Source organism: Homo sapiens, chromosome 2 (assembly GCF_000001405.40).
Source record: "Homo sapiens chromosome 2, GRCh38.p14 Primary Assembly".
Taxonomy (NCBI): Eukaryota; Metazoa; Chordata; class Mammalia; order Primates; family Hominidae; genus Homo; species Homo sapiens.
Genome location: NC_000002.12, coordinates 62,847,459 through 62,866,435, shown reverse-complemented (window position 1 = coordinate 62,866,435; position 18,977 = coordinate 62,847,459). Strand labels below are relative to the sequence as shown.

At 38.6% G+C, this 18,977-nt stretch overlaps 1 protein-coding gene across 52 annotated transcripts in view; it reads right to left on the bottom strand.

Annotated features, from left to right (window-relative positions):
- EHBP1 (EH domain binding protein 1) overlaps positions 1-18,977 on the bottom strand; it is a 372,610-nt gene that overhangs the window by 180,052 nt on the left and 173,581 nt on the right. For 32 of the 52 annotated variants that reach the window (NM_001142615.3, XM_047443748.1, XM_047443749.1 and 29 more), the window contains exons 8-9: positions 7,145-7,267; positions 1,465-1,705 (exon numbers count right to left, since the gene is read on the bottom strand). In NM_001142615.3, the coding sequence (NP_001136087.1) occupies positions 1,465-1,705; positions 7,145-7,267 (364 nt within the window). Of the gene's footprint in view, positions 1-1,464; positions 1,706-7,144; positions 7,268-7,925; positions 8,031-18,977 lie in introns of all 52 variants that reach the window. The other 20 variants (XM_047443744.1, XM_011532718.4, XM_047443745.1 and 17 more) reach the window with 1 other exon arrangement.

The following is an 18,977-nucleotide window of genomic DNA, read 5'->3' as shown; positions in this document are numbered from 1 at the left end:
GCATCTATACTAATGATTATGTTTTCTCCTCATTATGGGTCAGGTCAGATTTTCTTGTTTCTTTACATGCCTGATAAATGTTTGATTGGCTGTCATACAGTATGAATTTCATGTTTTGTGTGCTGGAGTTTTTGGTATTGATTAAAACTGTTTTGAGCTTCATGTGTGATGCAGTTAAATTACTTGAGATAAGTTTGATTCTTTTGAGCCTTGCCTTTAAGCTTTGTTAGGTAGGCCTAGAACAGCTTTCAGTTTAGGGCCAATTTGGCCCCACAACTGATGCAATACCTCTCTGAGGCCTCTACTGAATGTCCCATGTGTTAGGAAGTCTTTTCTTTCTGGCTGGTGGGAACACAAATTATTCTTGGTCTGGGGCAAACTCCAGGGATCATTCTGTTTGTTTCTTTGTCCTTCGTGATTTCCTCACACGCAAGCTCTGATCCACACTCAGCTAAAGACTCAGGAGGGGCTTTCTACAGATCTCTGAAACAGATCTCACAGAGTAGTGCTCCTCATACAGGTATAAATTCCGTACCTCTTCTCTTCTACAAATTCTGGTCACCTCAGTACTCCCAAGTCCAAACTCTATCTCCTTAATTCAGGGTGATTACTGGGATCTGAGTTTTTTTCTCTCTGAACTGCATTTAGAAACTCTCTCCCACAAATAAGTTACATAATTGTAGGGCTCGTCTTGTTTCTGTTCTCTCAGGGATCATTATCCTGTGCTGTTTGTGTCCAATGTCTGAATCCTATTGTTTCATATAATAATTTTATTCCATTTTTTAGTTGTTTAAGAGGCTAAATCCAGTCTGTGTTATCCCATCATGACTGGAAGTGGAGGTTTTGCTGCTGCTTTTAAAACACACTTAATGTCATGGTCTGTAGCCACATGGGCTATGAACTGTATAACTCCAGATTACAGTATGAACACATCCCCTTTTTATCCCCACTCCAGATTTGGGCAAATGGCAGCCCTAATTACACAGTCTATTCATACTGAGCTTGTGATAATCCCTAATTTAGAAATATTATTATTTCACTGTTTGGTATCTAAACAAGTCTTCTTATCAAATCAATACCACAAATGATTATTTTGTTCTCCTCCCCAACAGACCTATAAGATAACTGAAGTTTAATGTCTACAGAGTTTGATGGAAAAAAAAACCAAAAACCTAAATACCATTTATAATATAGTTTCTGTGAGAAGACACAATTGGAATTCCAACCAGAGATTCTAGGAATATATCTTCCTCACTTGTTAGTTTAGGGTACACACACACATACCTGGAAGAGGGTGGGAGAATAAGGTTTAAGACTATAAACACTCAGATAGTGGACGAGTTAGATACTGACTTATAAAGTGTACATTAATGATTTGTACCCATCTAAAGGTACATTACAAAAGGATCTCTTTAGGTAACATAGAGACTAACTTGTGATGACAGCAAAATGAAATGTACTTACTCATCCAATTCTTCTTCTTCAGTTTTAGAACTATCAGCATAGAGGTACTTGCTCATATCCACAGGTCTTATATTTTTTCTTTTTGTAGACTGGGGAGGAGAATCCTTTATGGTCACAAATGCTTCTGGCTCATCGAATGGGTTCAAATACTGTGGAGTCTGCACCTCTTTAAAGGGATTATAGCTGTTATTATAAAAAGAGTCTTCTGTTTTTCTAGGTGAAGCTGTTTCAGTGATAGGTTCTATAAAATAATAGCAGATGAATTAAATCACATGAATACCATATGATATTTTCTAATATTGTTTAGTGTTCTCAAATATATGCATTATTGAATTAATAAGCTCTATGGGGCTGAGAAAGAGCAAAGCAATAATAAAACAATAATATATTTTAGAGGGGCTAAGTAGTCTTAATGTTCAGAAGATGTGATATCTAAAATCTCTGTCAATTTCTCCAGGAATGGTACTCCCAAAAATGGCATTTTTGGATCATTACTGTTTCTTGAGATCCTCTGCAGTATCTAACAGTATTAACATTATGATATGCCAATTTTGAAAATGTTTTCTTAGATGTGCAAAATTATATTCTTTTATTGTAGTCTACCAGCTTGCCATTACAAACCGATACATAATAAATTTCTGTTTTTAAAAGAACATGAAATGGGCTGGTTATGGTGGTGCACACCTGTAGTGCCAGTTCCCAGGGACGTTGCAGTGGAAGGATGGCTGGAACCCAAGAGTTCAAGGCTGCAGTGAGCCATGATTGTACCACTGCACTCCAGCCTGGGTGACAGAGCATGACCTCAATTCAAAAATAAAATTTAAGGCTGGGCATAGTCTCTTGCACCTGTAATCCCAACTCTTTGGGAGGCCGAGGTGGGTAGATCACTTGAGGTCAAGGAGTTCAAGACCAGCCTGGCCAACATGGTGAAACCCTGTCTCTACTTAATACACAAAAACTAGCCGGGTGGGGTGGCGGGGGCCTGCAATCCCAGCTACTCAGGAGGCTGAGGCAGGAGAATCGCCTGAATCCAGGAGGCAGAGATTACAGTGAGCTGAGACTGCGCCACTGAACTATAGTCTGGGCAACAGAGCGAGACTCTGTTTAAAAAAAAAAAAAAAAAAAAAAAAACAACACAGAAAAATAAAATTTAAAAAAATAAAATAAAATAAAAAGAACAGGAAATTGATTCACTTTTGAAATGTTCTTTGATATTTACGTAAGCACAGACCACTCAGGGATCTGATAATTCATTCTGTCCTGTGTCGTATATATACTCACAGGCCACTGAACTTGTTTTCTCAAAGTTTTCAAAGAGGAGGTTTCTGTATGCTACAAGACTTTAAATCTTTAGAGCTTTTAATGAGATTATTTTTTCAATGTAACTTCAATCAATAATAACATAAGAATCTTCAAGGTGAAAGCACTATAATAATACTGGTAAGCTGATAGATATATCAAGTTTTTCTAGCTTTTATTATTTCAAATTTTAATTTGAAAACAATGGTGCTTTCATTTTTATTTTTTTTTGAGACACAGTTTCACTCTGTTGCCCAGGCTGTAGTGCAGCGGCACGGTCTTGAACTTCTGACCTCAATGATCCACCTGCCTCGGCCTCCCAAAGTGCTGGGATTACAGGTGTGAGCCACCATGCCTGGACAACAATGGTACGTGTGTGTGTGTGTGTGTGACGGAGTCTCACTCTGTTGCCCAGGCTGGAGTGCAGTGGTGCAATCTCGGCTCACTGCAACCTCCGCCTCCCCAGTTCAAGCGAATTTCTCCCACCTCAGCCTCCTGAGTAGCTGGGATTATAGGCATGCGCCACCACGCCTGGCTAATTTTTGTATTTTTAGTAGAGACAGGGTTTCACCATGTTGGTCAGGCTGGTCTCGGACTCCTGACCTCAAGTGATCCACCTGCCTCAGCCTCCCAAAGTGCTGGGATTACAGGCGTGAGCCACTGTGCCCGGCCTCAGTGGTACTTTTAAAATAAAACTCTGACTCAAAATACAAAACCACTATAGTAGTAGTAGTACTTAGCACGAGGCTTTTTTTTTTATGTTTGTTAGTATTTTAAAACAAAACAAGAATTTGTAATAAAACTGTCTAAGATTTGCTGATAAAAATATTTTCTCAAATTGTAGGAAAATTTCAGTGAGCCAAAAGTCATAGTGCATTAAAAGTAATTTTAATTATGCTATGCAATGCTAACAAAATATTCTGTGAGAGGAAGGCAGGAAATTGATTATTGAAATTCTCAAGAAAAATTGTTTCCTAAGTGACATTTCAAACAACTTAATCTGATTATTACAAAAATTTTATGACTGACATTTATTAATTACTTTTATTTTTTTGAGATGGAGTTTCGCTCTTGTTGCCCAGGCTGGAGTGCAATGGTGCAATCTCGGCTCACTGCAACCTCTGCAGTGACCTCTCCCGGTGTCAAGCTATTCTCCTGCCTCAACCTCCTGAGGAGCTGGGATTACAGGCGCCCGCCATCACGCCTGGCTAATTTTTTGTATTTTTAGTAGAGATGAGGTTTCACCCTGTTGGCCAGGCTGGTCTTGAACTCCTGACCTCAGGTGATCTGCCCGCCTCAGCCTCCCAAAGGGCTGGGATTACAGGTGTGAGCCACCATGCCCGGCCAATGACTTTTATATTTTAAAGTCAAACCACGTATACTGTACATGTTAGCCCAGAAAATTTATTTTGTCTTTATGTTGAAAAGAACATAAAATGAAAAATTCTGAGCTGAAAGTCTGTACACCATGGAGAAGCAAGTAAGTGTGAAAGAGAAGTCATAAAATCATAATAAATCAATACTGAAATGAATTTAAACATAGCCTAAAGAGACTCAGTAATAGTATCTTTTGTAATACCATGATAATATTCAAACTTAACACCACTAGAATCTTTATAATCATGTAAATTAAGCATTTTCTTTTCTCCATAAGGGAAGAGAGACTGTAAAGTTTTTCCTATCCAATTTTGTATTAACAAATATCAGGGCTCAAATGCTTAAGAAACTGACAAAATGGGTCAATAAAAATAAGATTTTTATTTTTTTCTTTCAGGAAGAGGATTGCAAAAATTAATCCAAGCAAATTCATCAGTTACAACACCAAAAGCAAGAAAGTATACAAACTATAGAGCAAGATTTGAAGATGCTAGAATAGGCAACAAAGGAGGGTTTAAGAGAAGACTTTCTTTCTTTTTTTTTTTTTCCTGAGCTGGAGTTTCACTCACTCTGTCGCCCAGGCTGGGGTGCAGTGGCACGATCTTGGCTCACTGCAACCTTTGTCTCCTGAGTTCAAGTGATTCTCCTGCCTCAGCCTCCCAAACAGCTGGGATTATAGGTGTGTGCCCCACACTGGGCTAACTTTTGTATGTTAAGTAGAGACGGGTTTCACCATGTTGGCCAGGCTCATCTCAAACTCCTGGTCTCAAGCGATCCACCTGCCTTGGCCTCCCAAAGTTCTAGGATTACAGGCGTGAACCACCGCGCCCGGCCGACATTTAGTAGCTTTCTAAAAAAGCCACTCAAGGGCTGGGCGCGGTGGCTCACGCCTGTAATCCCAGCACTTTGGGAGGCCAAGGTGGGCCGATTACAAGGTCAGGAAATCGAGACCATCCTGGCCGACATGGCGAAACCTCATCTCTACTAAAAATACAAAAATTAACTGGGCATGGTGGCACGCGCCTGTAATCCAGGCTACTCGGGAGGCTGAGGCAGGAGAAACGCTTGAACCCGAGAGTTGGACGTTGCAGTGAGCCGAGAATGTGCCACTGCACTCCAGCCTGGGCGACAGGGCGAGACTCTGTCTCAAAAAAAAAAAAAAAAAAAAAAAGCCACTCAAGCACATAAATATAAGAGGAGAACTGAACCTGTAAAAGCAAAAAAAGAATAATCTGAACAATTGCAACACATTTTTTTCTTCCCCAAATACTTCTGTTTTGAGGCTGCAAGTTTTTAATCAATAAAGATAAATTATTTCTATAAAAATATTTTAATAATAAAAAATACTTACTCTAAAGACTCTAATAGGCATATATTTAAAAAGATCAGTGGTTGACACATACTTGTTTGGCTCTACAGGTATAATTAAAGATTCTGAATCAGGCTGGCTTACTTCTTCTTCATAGAAATATGATCTTATGTGTTGTCTGCCACTCTCTTTTATACCTCTGATAACAGACTTACATTTAGAAAACTTACTTGATTTTAAAATAGAAAGTTCAAATACTGAATGTCTCAAGACATTTTGTAAATATTTTTGAACTCAGTATACTTAATTGTATGTAGTATAAAATCAAGAAGTTGTGTGGTCAAAAGGATACCTGATTAAGAATCTTAGTTCCAACTCCACCTCCATCTAACCTAAAGTCAAATAATTTAACTTCTCTCAGTCTCAGCTTCCTAATCTATGAAAAGAGGTAGTTGACTGCCTCTATGATTTATTGTAATTTTTTTTTTCTTTTTTTGAGATGGAGTTTCGCTCTTGTTGCCCAGGCTGGAGTGCAATGGCGCGATCTTGGTCACTGCAACCTCCGCCTCCCAGGTTCAAGCAATTCTCCTGCCTCAGCCTCTCGAGTAGCTGGGATTACATGCATGCACCACCATGCTCAGCTAACTTTTTATATTTTTAGTAGAGACGGGGTTTCTCTATGTTGGTCAGGCTGGGCGCAAACTTGTGACCTCAGGTGATCCGCCAGCCCTGGCCTCCCAAAGCGCTGAGATTACAGGCGTGAGCCACCGTGCCCAGCTATTGTAACCTTTTTAAGATTTAAAATATGTTCATAATATATAGCCCTCAAACAAAATAAAAAACTCATGAATACACACTTACTATTAATAATTTAGAGTCTGGTAAGAAGGGAGAAGGTAAAGGAAGAGGAGACAGAGAAAGAATTATGAAATTATATTGCTATAACAGAGTGAATCCTGAAGCTAAAACCTCATTTTCACCATGACAGGCAGTAGCAAAATTCTTTAAAATTCATGAAGATTTCTCAGACACAGTCAAAAAAAGATGTAAACAGTAGTTAATCATTCTTGCATTTATGTTAAGCATACAGAGTTCAATTAAACAGAAGTCTCACTTCTGTAACAGCCCTTAGCCAGGCTTTATGAGTTCAAAACTACTTAATAAGAAAAGTGACTCAGGAAAAAAAATCCCTGGTTTTATACCTCACAAGTATGCTGTATATATATATATAATAGCAGCGGTTCTTAACCTACTCTCTGCTCCATGTTTTCACATGCATAACTCACTCTCACTACTAATTCTCTGCTAGAGAATCTCGGCTAGAGAGACATAGAGTTGGGGCAGAAGGGCTCAACAGACTGAGTGTCAGGGAAAATGATCCATATAGAGAAGCTACCTCCACCATCCCAAAATCAGTATATCCCACATTCTGACCTTACTTGGTAGACCAAACGAATGAGACTTGTAAAGCCCCATGTAAATGTTTACGTAAGGCTTTCTTTTTTCTTTAAAAGCCATTCCATAGAAGTGACCCAGAATTGCTGATCAACTCCAAGTGGTATTGAACACAATAATAATATCATTATAAACAATAATTTTTTGTGTGTTAGTCTCTGAAGAAAATATTTTCCTGCCCTTACAGTTCAAGTCAACTTGACTATACAAAGACTTTAAAATTACAGAAAAACTTGCTACCTTCTGAGTCAGGATCTCCAAATGGATTTAATTCTGCAGCATCAGGATCATCAAATGGATTTGAATTCACGGTGGCCAAGTCCTTTTCTGCTTCATCCAAAAAGTTAAGTTTGTTGATAAGCTCTGAAAATAAACATATGGGTTAGTTCCCTATTATGGTTAAGTGTAAGTATTGAACATTCGTGAAATATTTCAAATGGTAAAAGTTCACACGAATAATACCTGCAAATAATAGTATATAGCATTTTACCAATGACAGAATGCCATTCAAGTATTTTGTAGCATACCAACATTTTCAAACAAAACAAAACAAACATTTGAGTATTAATTGAAAATTATGTCAGATAATGAACTGTACTAAAGAAACTTCCATGTCAATTTAATTTGAGCCAATAAAAAAAGTGTTGACATAGACTTTTAGAAAGAACATTCTTCACTCCCAAACAGGAATAACTGAAATGGGCTTATGATAAGCAAATATTCTAAAAACAATATATTTATAATATATAAACACACTGAAGAAGTAGCATGTTGTATGACCAAGTATTATCTTAGAAAATGTTTTAAAACCACTGTCTATCAAGGATCCTGACATGACTTTGCTAAAGATAAGTACTGTTATCTTGTTGCCTGTTGGTGCACTACAAATTACCAAAGAAAACATTCAAGGAAAAGCACAAAGACAAAACTGACAGATAAATACAGACAGAAGTCAAGAGGTAGCAGGTCACAGTAAATACAGGCAATCAGAAGCAGAAAGAAAGGAGGAAAGCTCTTAGACCTTCAGAGGAACTGGCTGATTTAGCTGAACGCATATTTGCTTGCTTTATGCAGTCATCTTGATCTTCATCTAAGCTGCTCAGAGCATTCAACTGGTTTACAATTTCTGTAAACAGAAGCCAGTCAAGACAAATATAAGGTAAGGTCATTTAATTAAAGAGAAGTAGGAGCATGCTGTTACCCAAAAAGACAAAGAGGAGATGTTTGGTTAATCAACAGAATACATTCGGTGGATGTTATTTTGATGAACCCATAACAGATATGCTTAACTGAATGTTATGCTGTACTCATATTTTAAAATAGAAAGCATTTTATTGTTAAAATGTATACTAGTAACATAAAAACTATGTTAATAAACACAAAACGAGATAATAACCCGAGAAGTTGACACTGGTTTTCACATTTCACATTTACAAAATAGAGCTGTGCTTTAAACACATATATTAAAAACAGAACAAAATATATATACTCTGATACTACAGAAAATATTTGTCATTTGTTTTATATTCTAAATTTAAACAAAAAGTTTTAAGAATATAAATGCATGGATTATATACATAATAAGTATGTATTCATGTTGCATTTTAAAAATCGGCACTAAAACAAGAAAAAAGCAACAGTTACTATTTTCTACTACTGTTTTTTTTTTAATAGGATCTGTTCTTTTAAGGCAACTTTAGAGTATATGCTTTAGAAAAATCTTATAATAAAAACAATAAAAGAGAACTAAAAAGGACAGAGAAACAAATTTAAGATACAATTTTTTACATGAGTCATCTATATTTTGAACAACTCTGAATATGTGAAATTATCACTCATTGGGTGAAAATTAGACTACTCAAATAAGAACCTTTTAGGATACTACGGGGTAATTCCTGATATTTCCAAAGTTACAACCTAGGAATAGCTTAGGTATAACGATACAGCAAATAGATCCAGATTATTCAGTAGGAAAGAAATAAAACGATTGGAAGTAGAACACAGTTGTAAATTTGACATTAAAAGTACTGTTCTTTAACATTGTAAACCTAAGGGCACATGGTAAATTTTATTTGAACTAAATCATTTAATATGCATTTATAATATGGCTGCCTGCAACTATTCATGTATTGAACAAATATTTATTTATCAGTCTGTGCCAAGACCTATTCTTCGGACACAAAAACAAACATGGTATTGTCCTTGTGGAATTTACGATCTATAGAGACACAAATTAACATGGAAACAGACTTAACAAATACCTACAGGCATACCACATTTTATTGCACTTCCCAGATATTGCATTTTCTATTAAGTAAAGAGGTTTTTTTTGCTTAAAGCAACAAAAAAAATTATTATCCAACTGTTGTGGGGATCAGAAGACTTGCTGGGCTAAAATTAGGAAGTTCGATAGGCTGCATTCCTTTCTGGAGCCTATAGGGAAGAATTTGCTTCCCTCCCTTTTCCAGCTTCTAGAAGCCAACCTTGTCTAGAAGTCTACAAGCCACTCCTTAACTTGTGACCCCCTTCCTCCATCTTCAAAGCCAGCAACAGTGGGCCAAGTTGTTCTCACATCACATGTGATGACTTTCTCTTCTGCCACTCTCTACCATTTAACCACCCTGGTAATTATATTGAGTCACACGGATAACCTAGCATACTTTCCACTATGTCACGGTCAGCTTATAAACAACCTTAATTCCATCTGCCACCTTATGAATTGAAGGTTTGTGACAACTCTAAGATTAGCAAGTCTATCAGCACCATTCTTCCAACAGGATGTGCTCACTTAATGTGTGTGTCATATTTTGGTAATTCATATTGTTACAGGATCCTTGGGATGTAGCTTTTCTGGCTGGAAACCTCTGTGGCCAGTGGTGCCTTTGCCTGAGTTTTTTGCTCAGGCCTGCTGGACTCATTCCACCCACTTGGCCTGGCATGCTGCACTTGGCTCACGCTACTGACCTGGATCCCATGCCTACCAAGGGCGAGTCAGGCATGGAGTGATGAGGGTAGTGTGAGTGAGTGTGGGGTCTAGCCACTGTGCAGTCAGACACACCAGCTGCTGCAGCAGAGTGGGAAGCTCCATGTGTGGCATAGGCACCAGCTCTCTGCAAGGCTGCAGGTAGACCAGGTGCACTGCAGTTTCCACATCTGGCACTGGGAACGTGGTGGCACCTGGAAGCTTGGAGATGCCAGGAACCACAGGGCCCCAAAGCGGGAGTCACAGCCCTGGCATGGGGAGCTCCCAGATATGTGCTCCCTGATGGGCAGCAGCTCTTCTCTCCTCTTCACCTGCAATGTGGTGAGCAAGGGGCATGTTTCAGCCCTGTTTGTGTTACAGTTCTCCTAACCCTGCCATTCAATGGGGCTAAAAGAGCTGAGTTCTTGTCCTACAACCAGGAAGAATGAGGTACACAGGCAAGTGGAGGGTGAGCAAGATAAAGAGGAGCTTTACTGAGCAACAGAACAGCTCAGAGGAGACTCGCAGTGGGTAGCTCCTTTCCACAAGCAGGGTGTCCTGAAGAGTGTTCAGCTCCTAGCAGGGAGGAGACCCTGGAGTGGGAAGCTCTTCTCTGCAGGTAGGTAATCCTGTCAACTCTGCAGCTCTCAGCAGAGAGACCGTGGAGTGGCTTGCTCCTCTTTACAGGCAGGTCGACCCATTGTCTTTCTAGCTCTCAGCAGACAGGAGGCCCTGGAACGGGTTGCTCCTCTTTGCAACTGTTTGTCTCAGTGTCTTCCAAGCTCTCAGCAGAGTAGAGGTCCTGGAGTGGGTTGCTTCTCTCTGCAGGCAAGTAGTCCCATCAACTTCCCAGCTCTGAGAAGAGAAGAGGCCCTGGAATTGGTTGCTTCTCTCTGCAGCTGATTGTCCTGATATCTGCTCAGCTCTGACAGAGCCCAGGGCTTTCATGGGCCTCAGAGAAGAGGAATTGCATGCTGATTGGTTCATGGGCGGCCTGGAAAAAGCACCACAACCTCCCACTCTGGTCTGTGGAACTGGCAGCCTGGCCCCCAGCCTTCAGGCCCTCCCTGGCCTGAAGGTGGGGCCTCACCAGAGACCTTCCTCCTTCTACCCAGGAACCTACCTCCTGCTGCCATTCATGGTGCCTAGGGTGTAGGTGCCAATGGGTGCCTGCAGGCCAGCATGGAGCTGCCCTCAGCCACCCATCAGCTCCCCTCCTATGCTCATCGGTGCCCAAAATCCAGAAGGGGTCTGCTGCCGAGGTGGCAGGGGGCTGGTGTGTCAGCACTGCCCTGAGCATGTGCACACCTGGCCGGGCTGTGACAGCACCCGAGCTCAGCTCCAACTTTGTTCCAAGATTGGAGCAGGTGCCAATAGCAGGGAGAAGCCAGACAGCAGAAGCAGGCACTTCTGAGGCTGAGAGGGCAGGGGAAGCCTTCCCAGGCCCACAAGAATGCAGGGATGTCTGGGTCTGCAGCCGCCGTTTGGGCAAGCTGTGCTGGGGGGTTACGGCTCCTGCCTGCTCCCTGCAGTGGGAGGCCCAGGTCCACAGCCACAACTTGGGCAGCTGAAGCTGCACCCAGGAGGGCAGGGCTCCCACCTGCTCCAGGGTCCAAGAATAGAGGGGTACCTGGGTCTGCAGCACGGCTTGGGCAGATTTAGTAGCACCCAGGGAGCTCCAGCCCCAACTCAGAAGGGGCGGGGCTCCTGCTTGTCCCCAGTTCCCGCCAGCTGCTTGGAGTGTGTGGCCTCAGCCACGCCTCCCTGCTGTAGCAGGCATGACGACAGCCACCACTCCAGACGGCCCACCGCTGCCATCATCACCATATTCTAAACCTTTTCATTATATCTGTTAGGTGATTTGTGATGAGTGATCTTTGCTGTTACTACTTAAATTGTTCTGGGCTGCAATGCACCACACCCATTTAAGATGGCAAACTTCATCAATAATGTGTGCATTCTGACTGCTCCACCCGGTTGTTCCCCCATCTACCACTCCCCAGACCTCCTTATTTTCTCAGACACAACAATATTGAAACTAGGCCAGTTAAACCCTGCAAAGGCCACTAAGTGTTCAAATGAAAGGAAGAGTTGTATGTCTCTCCCTTTAAATGAAAAGCTAGAAATGATTAAGTTTTGTGAGGAAGTCATGTCTAAACCAAAGACAGTCTGAATGCTAGGCCTCTTGTGCTAAACAGTTAGACAAGTTATGAATGCAAAGAAAAAATTCTTGAAGGAAATTAAAAGTTCTAACCCAGTGAACACATGAAACTTTTAAAAAATGCATAAAGCCTTATTGCTGATGCAGAGAAAGCTTTAATGGCCTGGATAGAACATCAAACCAACCATAGCATTCCCTTAAGCCAAATCCTAACCCAGAGCAAGGCCCTAACTCTACTCAATTCTGTGAAGGCTGAGAGAGGTGAGGAAGCTGCAGAAGAAGTCTGAAGCTAATGTAGCTTCAACTTGTGTTGATACTGAAGAATGTGACTTCAAGTTGAAGTAGATGCTCATTTACCATTCCAGAAAATCCTAGGGCCCTTAAAAATGATGCTAAATGTACTGTGCCTGTGCTGTATAAAGGCAACAACAAAGCCTGGATGACAGCATATCTTTTTACAGCATGGCTTACTGAATATTTTAAGCCCATTGTTGAGACCTGCTGTGCAGAAAAAAAGACGCCTTCCAAAATATTACTACTCATTCCTTTTTAGCATGCTCCCTAAAAAAGTAACATCACTGCTCACTGACAATGCACCAGGTCGCCCAAGAGCTGTGATGGAGATGTACAGGTGATTAGTGTTGTTTCTGCAGCACACAGTTCAAGGAGTAATTTTGATTTTCAAGTCTTATTATTTAAGAAATACATTTTGTAAGATATAGCTCTCATAGGTAGTGATTCCTCTAATGATCTGGGCAGTCAATTGAAAACCTCTTGGAAAGGATTCACTGTTCTAGATACGATTAAGAATTTTGTGATTCATGGGAGGAGGTCAAAATATCAATATCAACAGGAGTTTGGAAGAAGGAAGAGGCTGATTCTGATCTTCATGGTTGACTCTGAGACGTTCAAGACTTCAGTGGAGGAAGTAACCACAGATGTGGTGGAAATAGCAAGAGAACCAGCACTAGAAGTGGAGCCTAAAGATATCACTGAATTGCTGCAATCTCATGATAAAACCTGAAAGGATGAGGAGTTGCTTCTCTGGATGAACAAAGAAAGTAGCTTCTTGACATGGAACCAACTCCTGGTGAAGATGCCGTGACATAATGGTATTGCACACTTAACAGACTACAGTATAGTGTAAACATAACTTTTATATATACTGGGAAATCAAAAAATGTGTGTGACTTGCTTTACTGCAATATTTGTTTTATTGTGGTGGTCTGGAACCAAACTCACAATATCTCCAAGGAATGCAGGTATGAAAATACTAGGCTGTCAGAGGTATGTTATAGATCTTTCAGCAAAATATATATGAAAAGTTGATAAGCTTATCAACTTCCCTTTTCTAAATGAGTAAATATATTTTGCATAACCAAAATTGCTTGAGATAGTCAAAGTAAACCATAGAAAACAGAAAGTAAACGCAATTAATACCAATTGAACTTTTTAATCCCAATTTGAACAGTAGGAGCTAAATAGTCAGACTTACAAAGTTTCTTCTTCCATCTTGTTTTGCCAATAGTTTTAAATCGTACTCTGACTCAAGGTAACCTAGCTAATTTCTCAGTAGGTAGAATTAATTCATAAATTAGATAATTTACCTGCCTCTTGCAGTCACTGTAATTTTGTAATTTTTAGGAAAAATATAATGGAGTGTAGGATCACTGTTAAGTGATTACCAGTCTCATGACTGATTTTTTTTTCATTCTTTACTAGTTGGGCATTTTTCAAAATTTACAAATGATTTATTTTTAACTTTAAAAATATTAATAACTTTGAACATATAAAAAGAAATATTAACAACAGCAGCTAACAATTACTAAGCAGTGGGAAAGGCTTTGCATCCATTATCAGTTAATTCTCATAAATAATCAAAAAAGAATTATTATTCACATTTTATCATGTATATTAGTATTATTTATTTGCCCCACAGGAATAACTTTGTAAACATAAAATATGAATAACTATGAAAATATAAAATATAAAAAGAAATAATAGCAGTTAATTATGAAGCAGTAGGAAAGGCTTTGCATCCACAATCAGCTAATTCTCATCAATAACCAAAGAAGTATTATTATCCACATTTTATCATGTATCTTAGTATTATTTATTAGTCCTATATTCCTATATGTGCAATTAATAGGTCAAAAAATGTTTACACAGTGCTCAAGTATTTGCACTTTTCTTTATATAGCTAAGACGTTTTAATTATCTTATGTTCCTAAAAGTAATCTTAATGAGAGAAGAAATCAATCATTTATTAAACATGTTATATTTGAGCACCGCAGGGAATATAGAAGAAGTATTAGAGTTAGTCTTTACCTTCAAAACATTAATATTGTTCCACAGAATTTTAGGTATAATGTCGGCATTTTAAAAAATACTATCAAGATGACTCTATTACATGACTGAATTATTTTTCCAAATGCTTAGAGTATGTCTTCCTCATCATCATGCTTTTGGTGACATCTAAAATCACTTACGGCCATTTCTTCATTAACTAATTCAAAGTAATTTCTTCTTTACATTCTCTTCACTAATGACAAACTGTCCTAGTAGTTTCCACCATTTATCCTTAGCTTAAGTAAATCCCTACTTCACTCCTAGAACTTCTGCTTCTACAACTTTCATTTACATTAACAGAGTGAAAAGGTAATTTTGATTTCTATACCAATGCTTCCCTTATTTGGTTTGCAAATAAATGTTAGCACAAATCATAAAAAAGCAATGTCCAAAAAAAACCACTTATCTATTTAATAAGCATTTATCAAGTACCTATTACATGCCTGTGCTAGTACCTGCTCTCATGGCTTTATATTTTAGTGGGACAGATAGGCAAGTAAAGTAATATGTACTGTATGATAAACATTATCATTGAGATAGCACTGTAGGCTACGGGAAACTAACTGAAAGAGAGATGTATAACTCAGAGGTTAGGAGGGCTTTCTGGATTTTTATCTACATTTGAGCTAACACAAGACAAGTAGACATTATGATTATTAAAATAAAAGAGGATATGGATGAGGACAAAGGGAGGCAAAGAGAACATGACACACTTGAAGAACTGCAAATTGGAGTTTAAGATGCCAGCGATAGGAAATGGAATTAGATGGGGCTGGCAGCTGTCCTATCATGAAGGTTGTTGTGATCAAACTAAAGAATTTGAACTTTATTCTGAGAGTTATGGGAATCTAGCATATTTCAGAAACTACATTCCAGCAGCAACATGGTGGCAGCGTTTGGGAAGAAAGGATAGGAAGCAAGACAAAGCATCACCACTCCATGAGGGAAGGCACTCAATAAATACTTGTTAATTGAAGAATAAATTAAGAAGATTTGATGATTAATTTGGCATGCAGGATAGGCAAGAAATCTAAGATAAGTGCTATGTTTGCGTGTTGGATGACTGTGGATAGCAACTGAGACTGGGCTATTAGTTTTAGACAGTTGGTGAAACTTCCCATGCAAATACTTCAATTGGCAGTTGCTATGTGGGTCAAAACCCTAAAATATATAATTTTGTTATGTATTTCTCCTTCTAAAAAAAGTACTTGTCTGTTTCTTCCAATTTTCTACAATGTTTTACTTTTACAATCGGAAAAAATTAACTTAAAAGAAAATTTATAACAAAAATTTATTCCTGGAATTTTTTTAATGGGAAGTTTTTTCAGTTACATGCTACCCTGACCAAAAGTACTACCCAACCCAATATATTTATATAATACTTTATTACTTTATAAAGTCTTGTTTCACAGAAAATTGAAAACGTTTGGAAAATGCTAATAATGTTATATTTCTCCCCTACTACTATACAAATTGAGCAATAAACCCATATATTTCCTGTAACTGTATGTCAGTTATGGACCTGCTTCACATTGATGAGAATAAGAAGAGAAACTAAATCAGGGGCAGGCAATCAAAGCAAAGGGTCAAATAATTTGAGATTCTTCCTTACAGTAAGGAAGGCAAAAGAAGATCGAAATTGACCACCAGAGATTATCACATTGAACAAAAAAGGTGGGGATGGGGATGGCAGCACGACAAGTGACGAGTAGGTGGCTTTTTCCTTTTAAGAAAGTCTGTAGTAAAAAGAAAAAAAAACTTCCTGTAGGCTAGAATATACCTGCAAATCTTGCAGTACCTTCGTTATTCTCTAAATTATAACGAGATTCAGGTATGTCTTATTTTAAGATGGTCTAAAATAGTAACTCTTCAACTTTCTGGCAGAGATCAAGGTAAAAAAGATGTCACTTTCTCCACAGGCTTAAACCCATAAATATGTGATTGCCTCTTTTAGGATACTAGCATCTCCTGATTCTCCTCCTATCTCGGACAGAGAGTTCTGTCTCAGTCTGTTTTAATAATAATTACTCTTCCCTCTGCCTAGGATCCCATCATAGGTCCCATTTTTCCCCTAAATCTGTTCTTTTTTGAAAGAATTCATCTATTCTCTTGGCTTAACTACAAACACATAAATTAAGATAATTCTCAAATACATACTGAGTGCCAGACTTGAATTTCCAACTACCTAGTGGGCACTTCTACTCTAATGACCATAGATAGTCCCCTCACACACTTAATATATTAAAAATAGAATTCAACAGCTGTGCTACTATGTCATGTTCGTCTTGTATTTCTAACAACTAGCAATTTTAAGCCCATAGCTAGTACTTAATGTACGTTGTAAATGAATGAATGAATGAACCGAATGAGTCATAATACTTTGCATCATCTTATAAAGGCAGGAGGATATAAAATATTCTTTATTTTTACATTATAGATACACTGTTTTATCTATGTATCTATCTCTATGTCTATGCATGTATGCATGTATCTATAATGTTTCATTTATCTATAGAAATATTATATTTTAAGCCACCACTTCAAAATTTGGTGACTTAAAACAACAAATTATTATCTCTCAAAGTTCTGTGGGTTGACTGGACCTAGCTGGGTAGTTCAATGTAGTTAGATGGCAGTGGGCTGAAGTCATCTGAAAGCTTGACAGGGCTGGATGTCCAAAATGGCTTTACTCACGTTTGATCTTGGCTGAAAAGGCTAGAACAACTCGCAGATGGCCCAGCATCTCTCTCTCTCTCCAAGTGGCCTGTCCACATGGCTAGTTTGGGGTTCCTCTCAGCAATGCAGTCTCAGGGCACATGAACTTTTTACATGACAGCTGGTTTTTCCTAGAGCATGCATTATGAGAGGACCAAGCAGAAGCTAAAAGGCAGCTTCCAACTTAGTTTTGGAAGTTACATAGTCACTTCCATTTTATTATATTGGGTAAAGTGATTTACCAGGCCAGCCAAGCTGCAAAGGAGGAGATTATAAAAGAGCATGAATATTGGGAGGTATTAATTCATTAGGACACAGTCAGGAGACCAGCTATACCACACAGTAGATCAATAAATCAGAAAGTTAGAAATCATTCATTTTCTTACAAACCTAATATATTTACTATAATTTTTACATGCTACTTTCCAGTATTTTACTTACACATACACATAAAGGCACAAATCTTAGACTGTATAATTTAATGAATTTTGACAAACATATACACCCATGTGACCCAAGCTGCGTAACATCTGCAACATCTTCCAAAGTTCTCTCTTGCCTCTTTTCAGTCAATCCCCAGTCCCACAGGCTATAACTATTTTAATGTTTATTAAAATAGTTTTGCCTTTTCTAAAAACATCACATAAGTGAAATCATATAGTGTATCTTTTATGTAAAGCCTCTTTCACTAAGCATAATGGTTTTGAGGTACATCTATGTTGTAGGGCATATCAATAGTTCATTTTTATTGCTGAGTAGTATTCCATTCATGAACATACTACGGTTTAGCCATTCTTCTGTTGATGTATGCCTGAGCTATTTCCAGTTTGGGACTATTACGAATAAATTGCTATGAATATCTTTGTGCAAATCTTTTTGGAGACATATATTTTCATTTATTTGGGGTAAATAAATGGGTCAGAGGGTAGGTGTATGTTCAGTGTTGTAAGAAACTTGCTAAGTGCCGGGCATGGTGGCTCACACCTGTAATCCCAGCACTTTGGGAGGCCAAGGTGGGAGGATCACTTGAGATCAGGAGTTCGAGGCCAGACTGGCCAACATGGTGAAACCCCATCTCTAATAAAAATACAAAAAAAAATTAGCTGGGCATGGTGGTGGACACCTGCAGTCCCAGCTACTCAAGAGGCTGAGGCAGAAGAACCGCTTGAACCTGGGAGGTGGAGGTTGCAGTGAGCTGAAATCATGCTACTGCACTCCAGCCTGGGTGACAGAGTGAGACTGTCTCAAGAAAAAAAAAAAAAAAAAAAAGACACTCATTATGTGATGGTACCATTATACATTCTACCAACAATGGATGAGAGTTTGTTGGTCCACAGCCTTGCCAACATTTAGTAGTGCCAATCTTTTAAATTTTAACCATTCTAGTAGATATAGAGTTGTATCTCTCTGTGATTTTAATTTGCATCTCCCTGATTAAAAGTGATGGATTTTTGATGTGCCATTTGGCTAGTGATAGATCTTTGTGAACCATATGTCCAAATCTTTGTCCATTTTAAAAAAATAAGGTCACATGTCTTTTTTATTATTTAGCTGTAAGGCATTTTTATAAAAATCTGTTCTGGAAACAAGATCTGTGACAGATATATGCTTTGTGACTATTTTCTTCTAATCTATGACTTGCTCGTACATTTTCTTAATGGTCTTCTTTTTTCCTAAGAGACAGGATCTCACTATGTTACCGAGGATGGACTTGAACTCCTGAGCTCAAGCTATCTTCCCACCTCAGCCTCCCAGTAGCTAGGACTATAGGTGCGTGCCACTATGCCTAGCTTTTTAAATAATCTATTTTGATTAGTGTAAGTTTTAAATTTTGACTAAGTTTAATCTATCAAATTTTTCCTTCCTGGTTATTGCTTTCTGTGTCA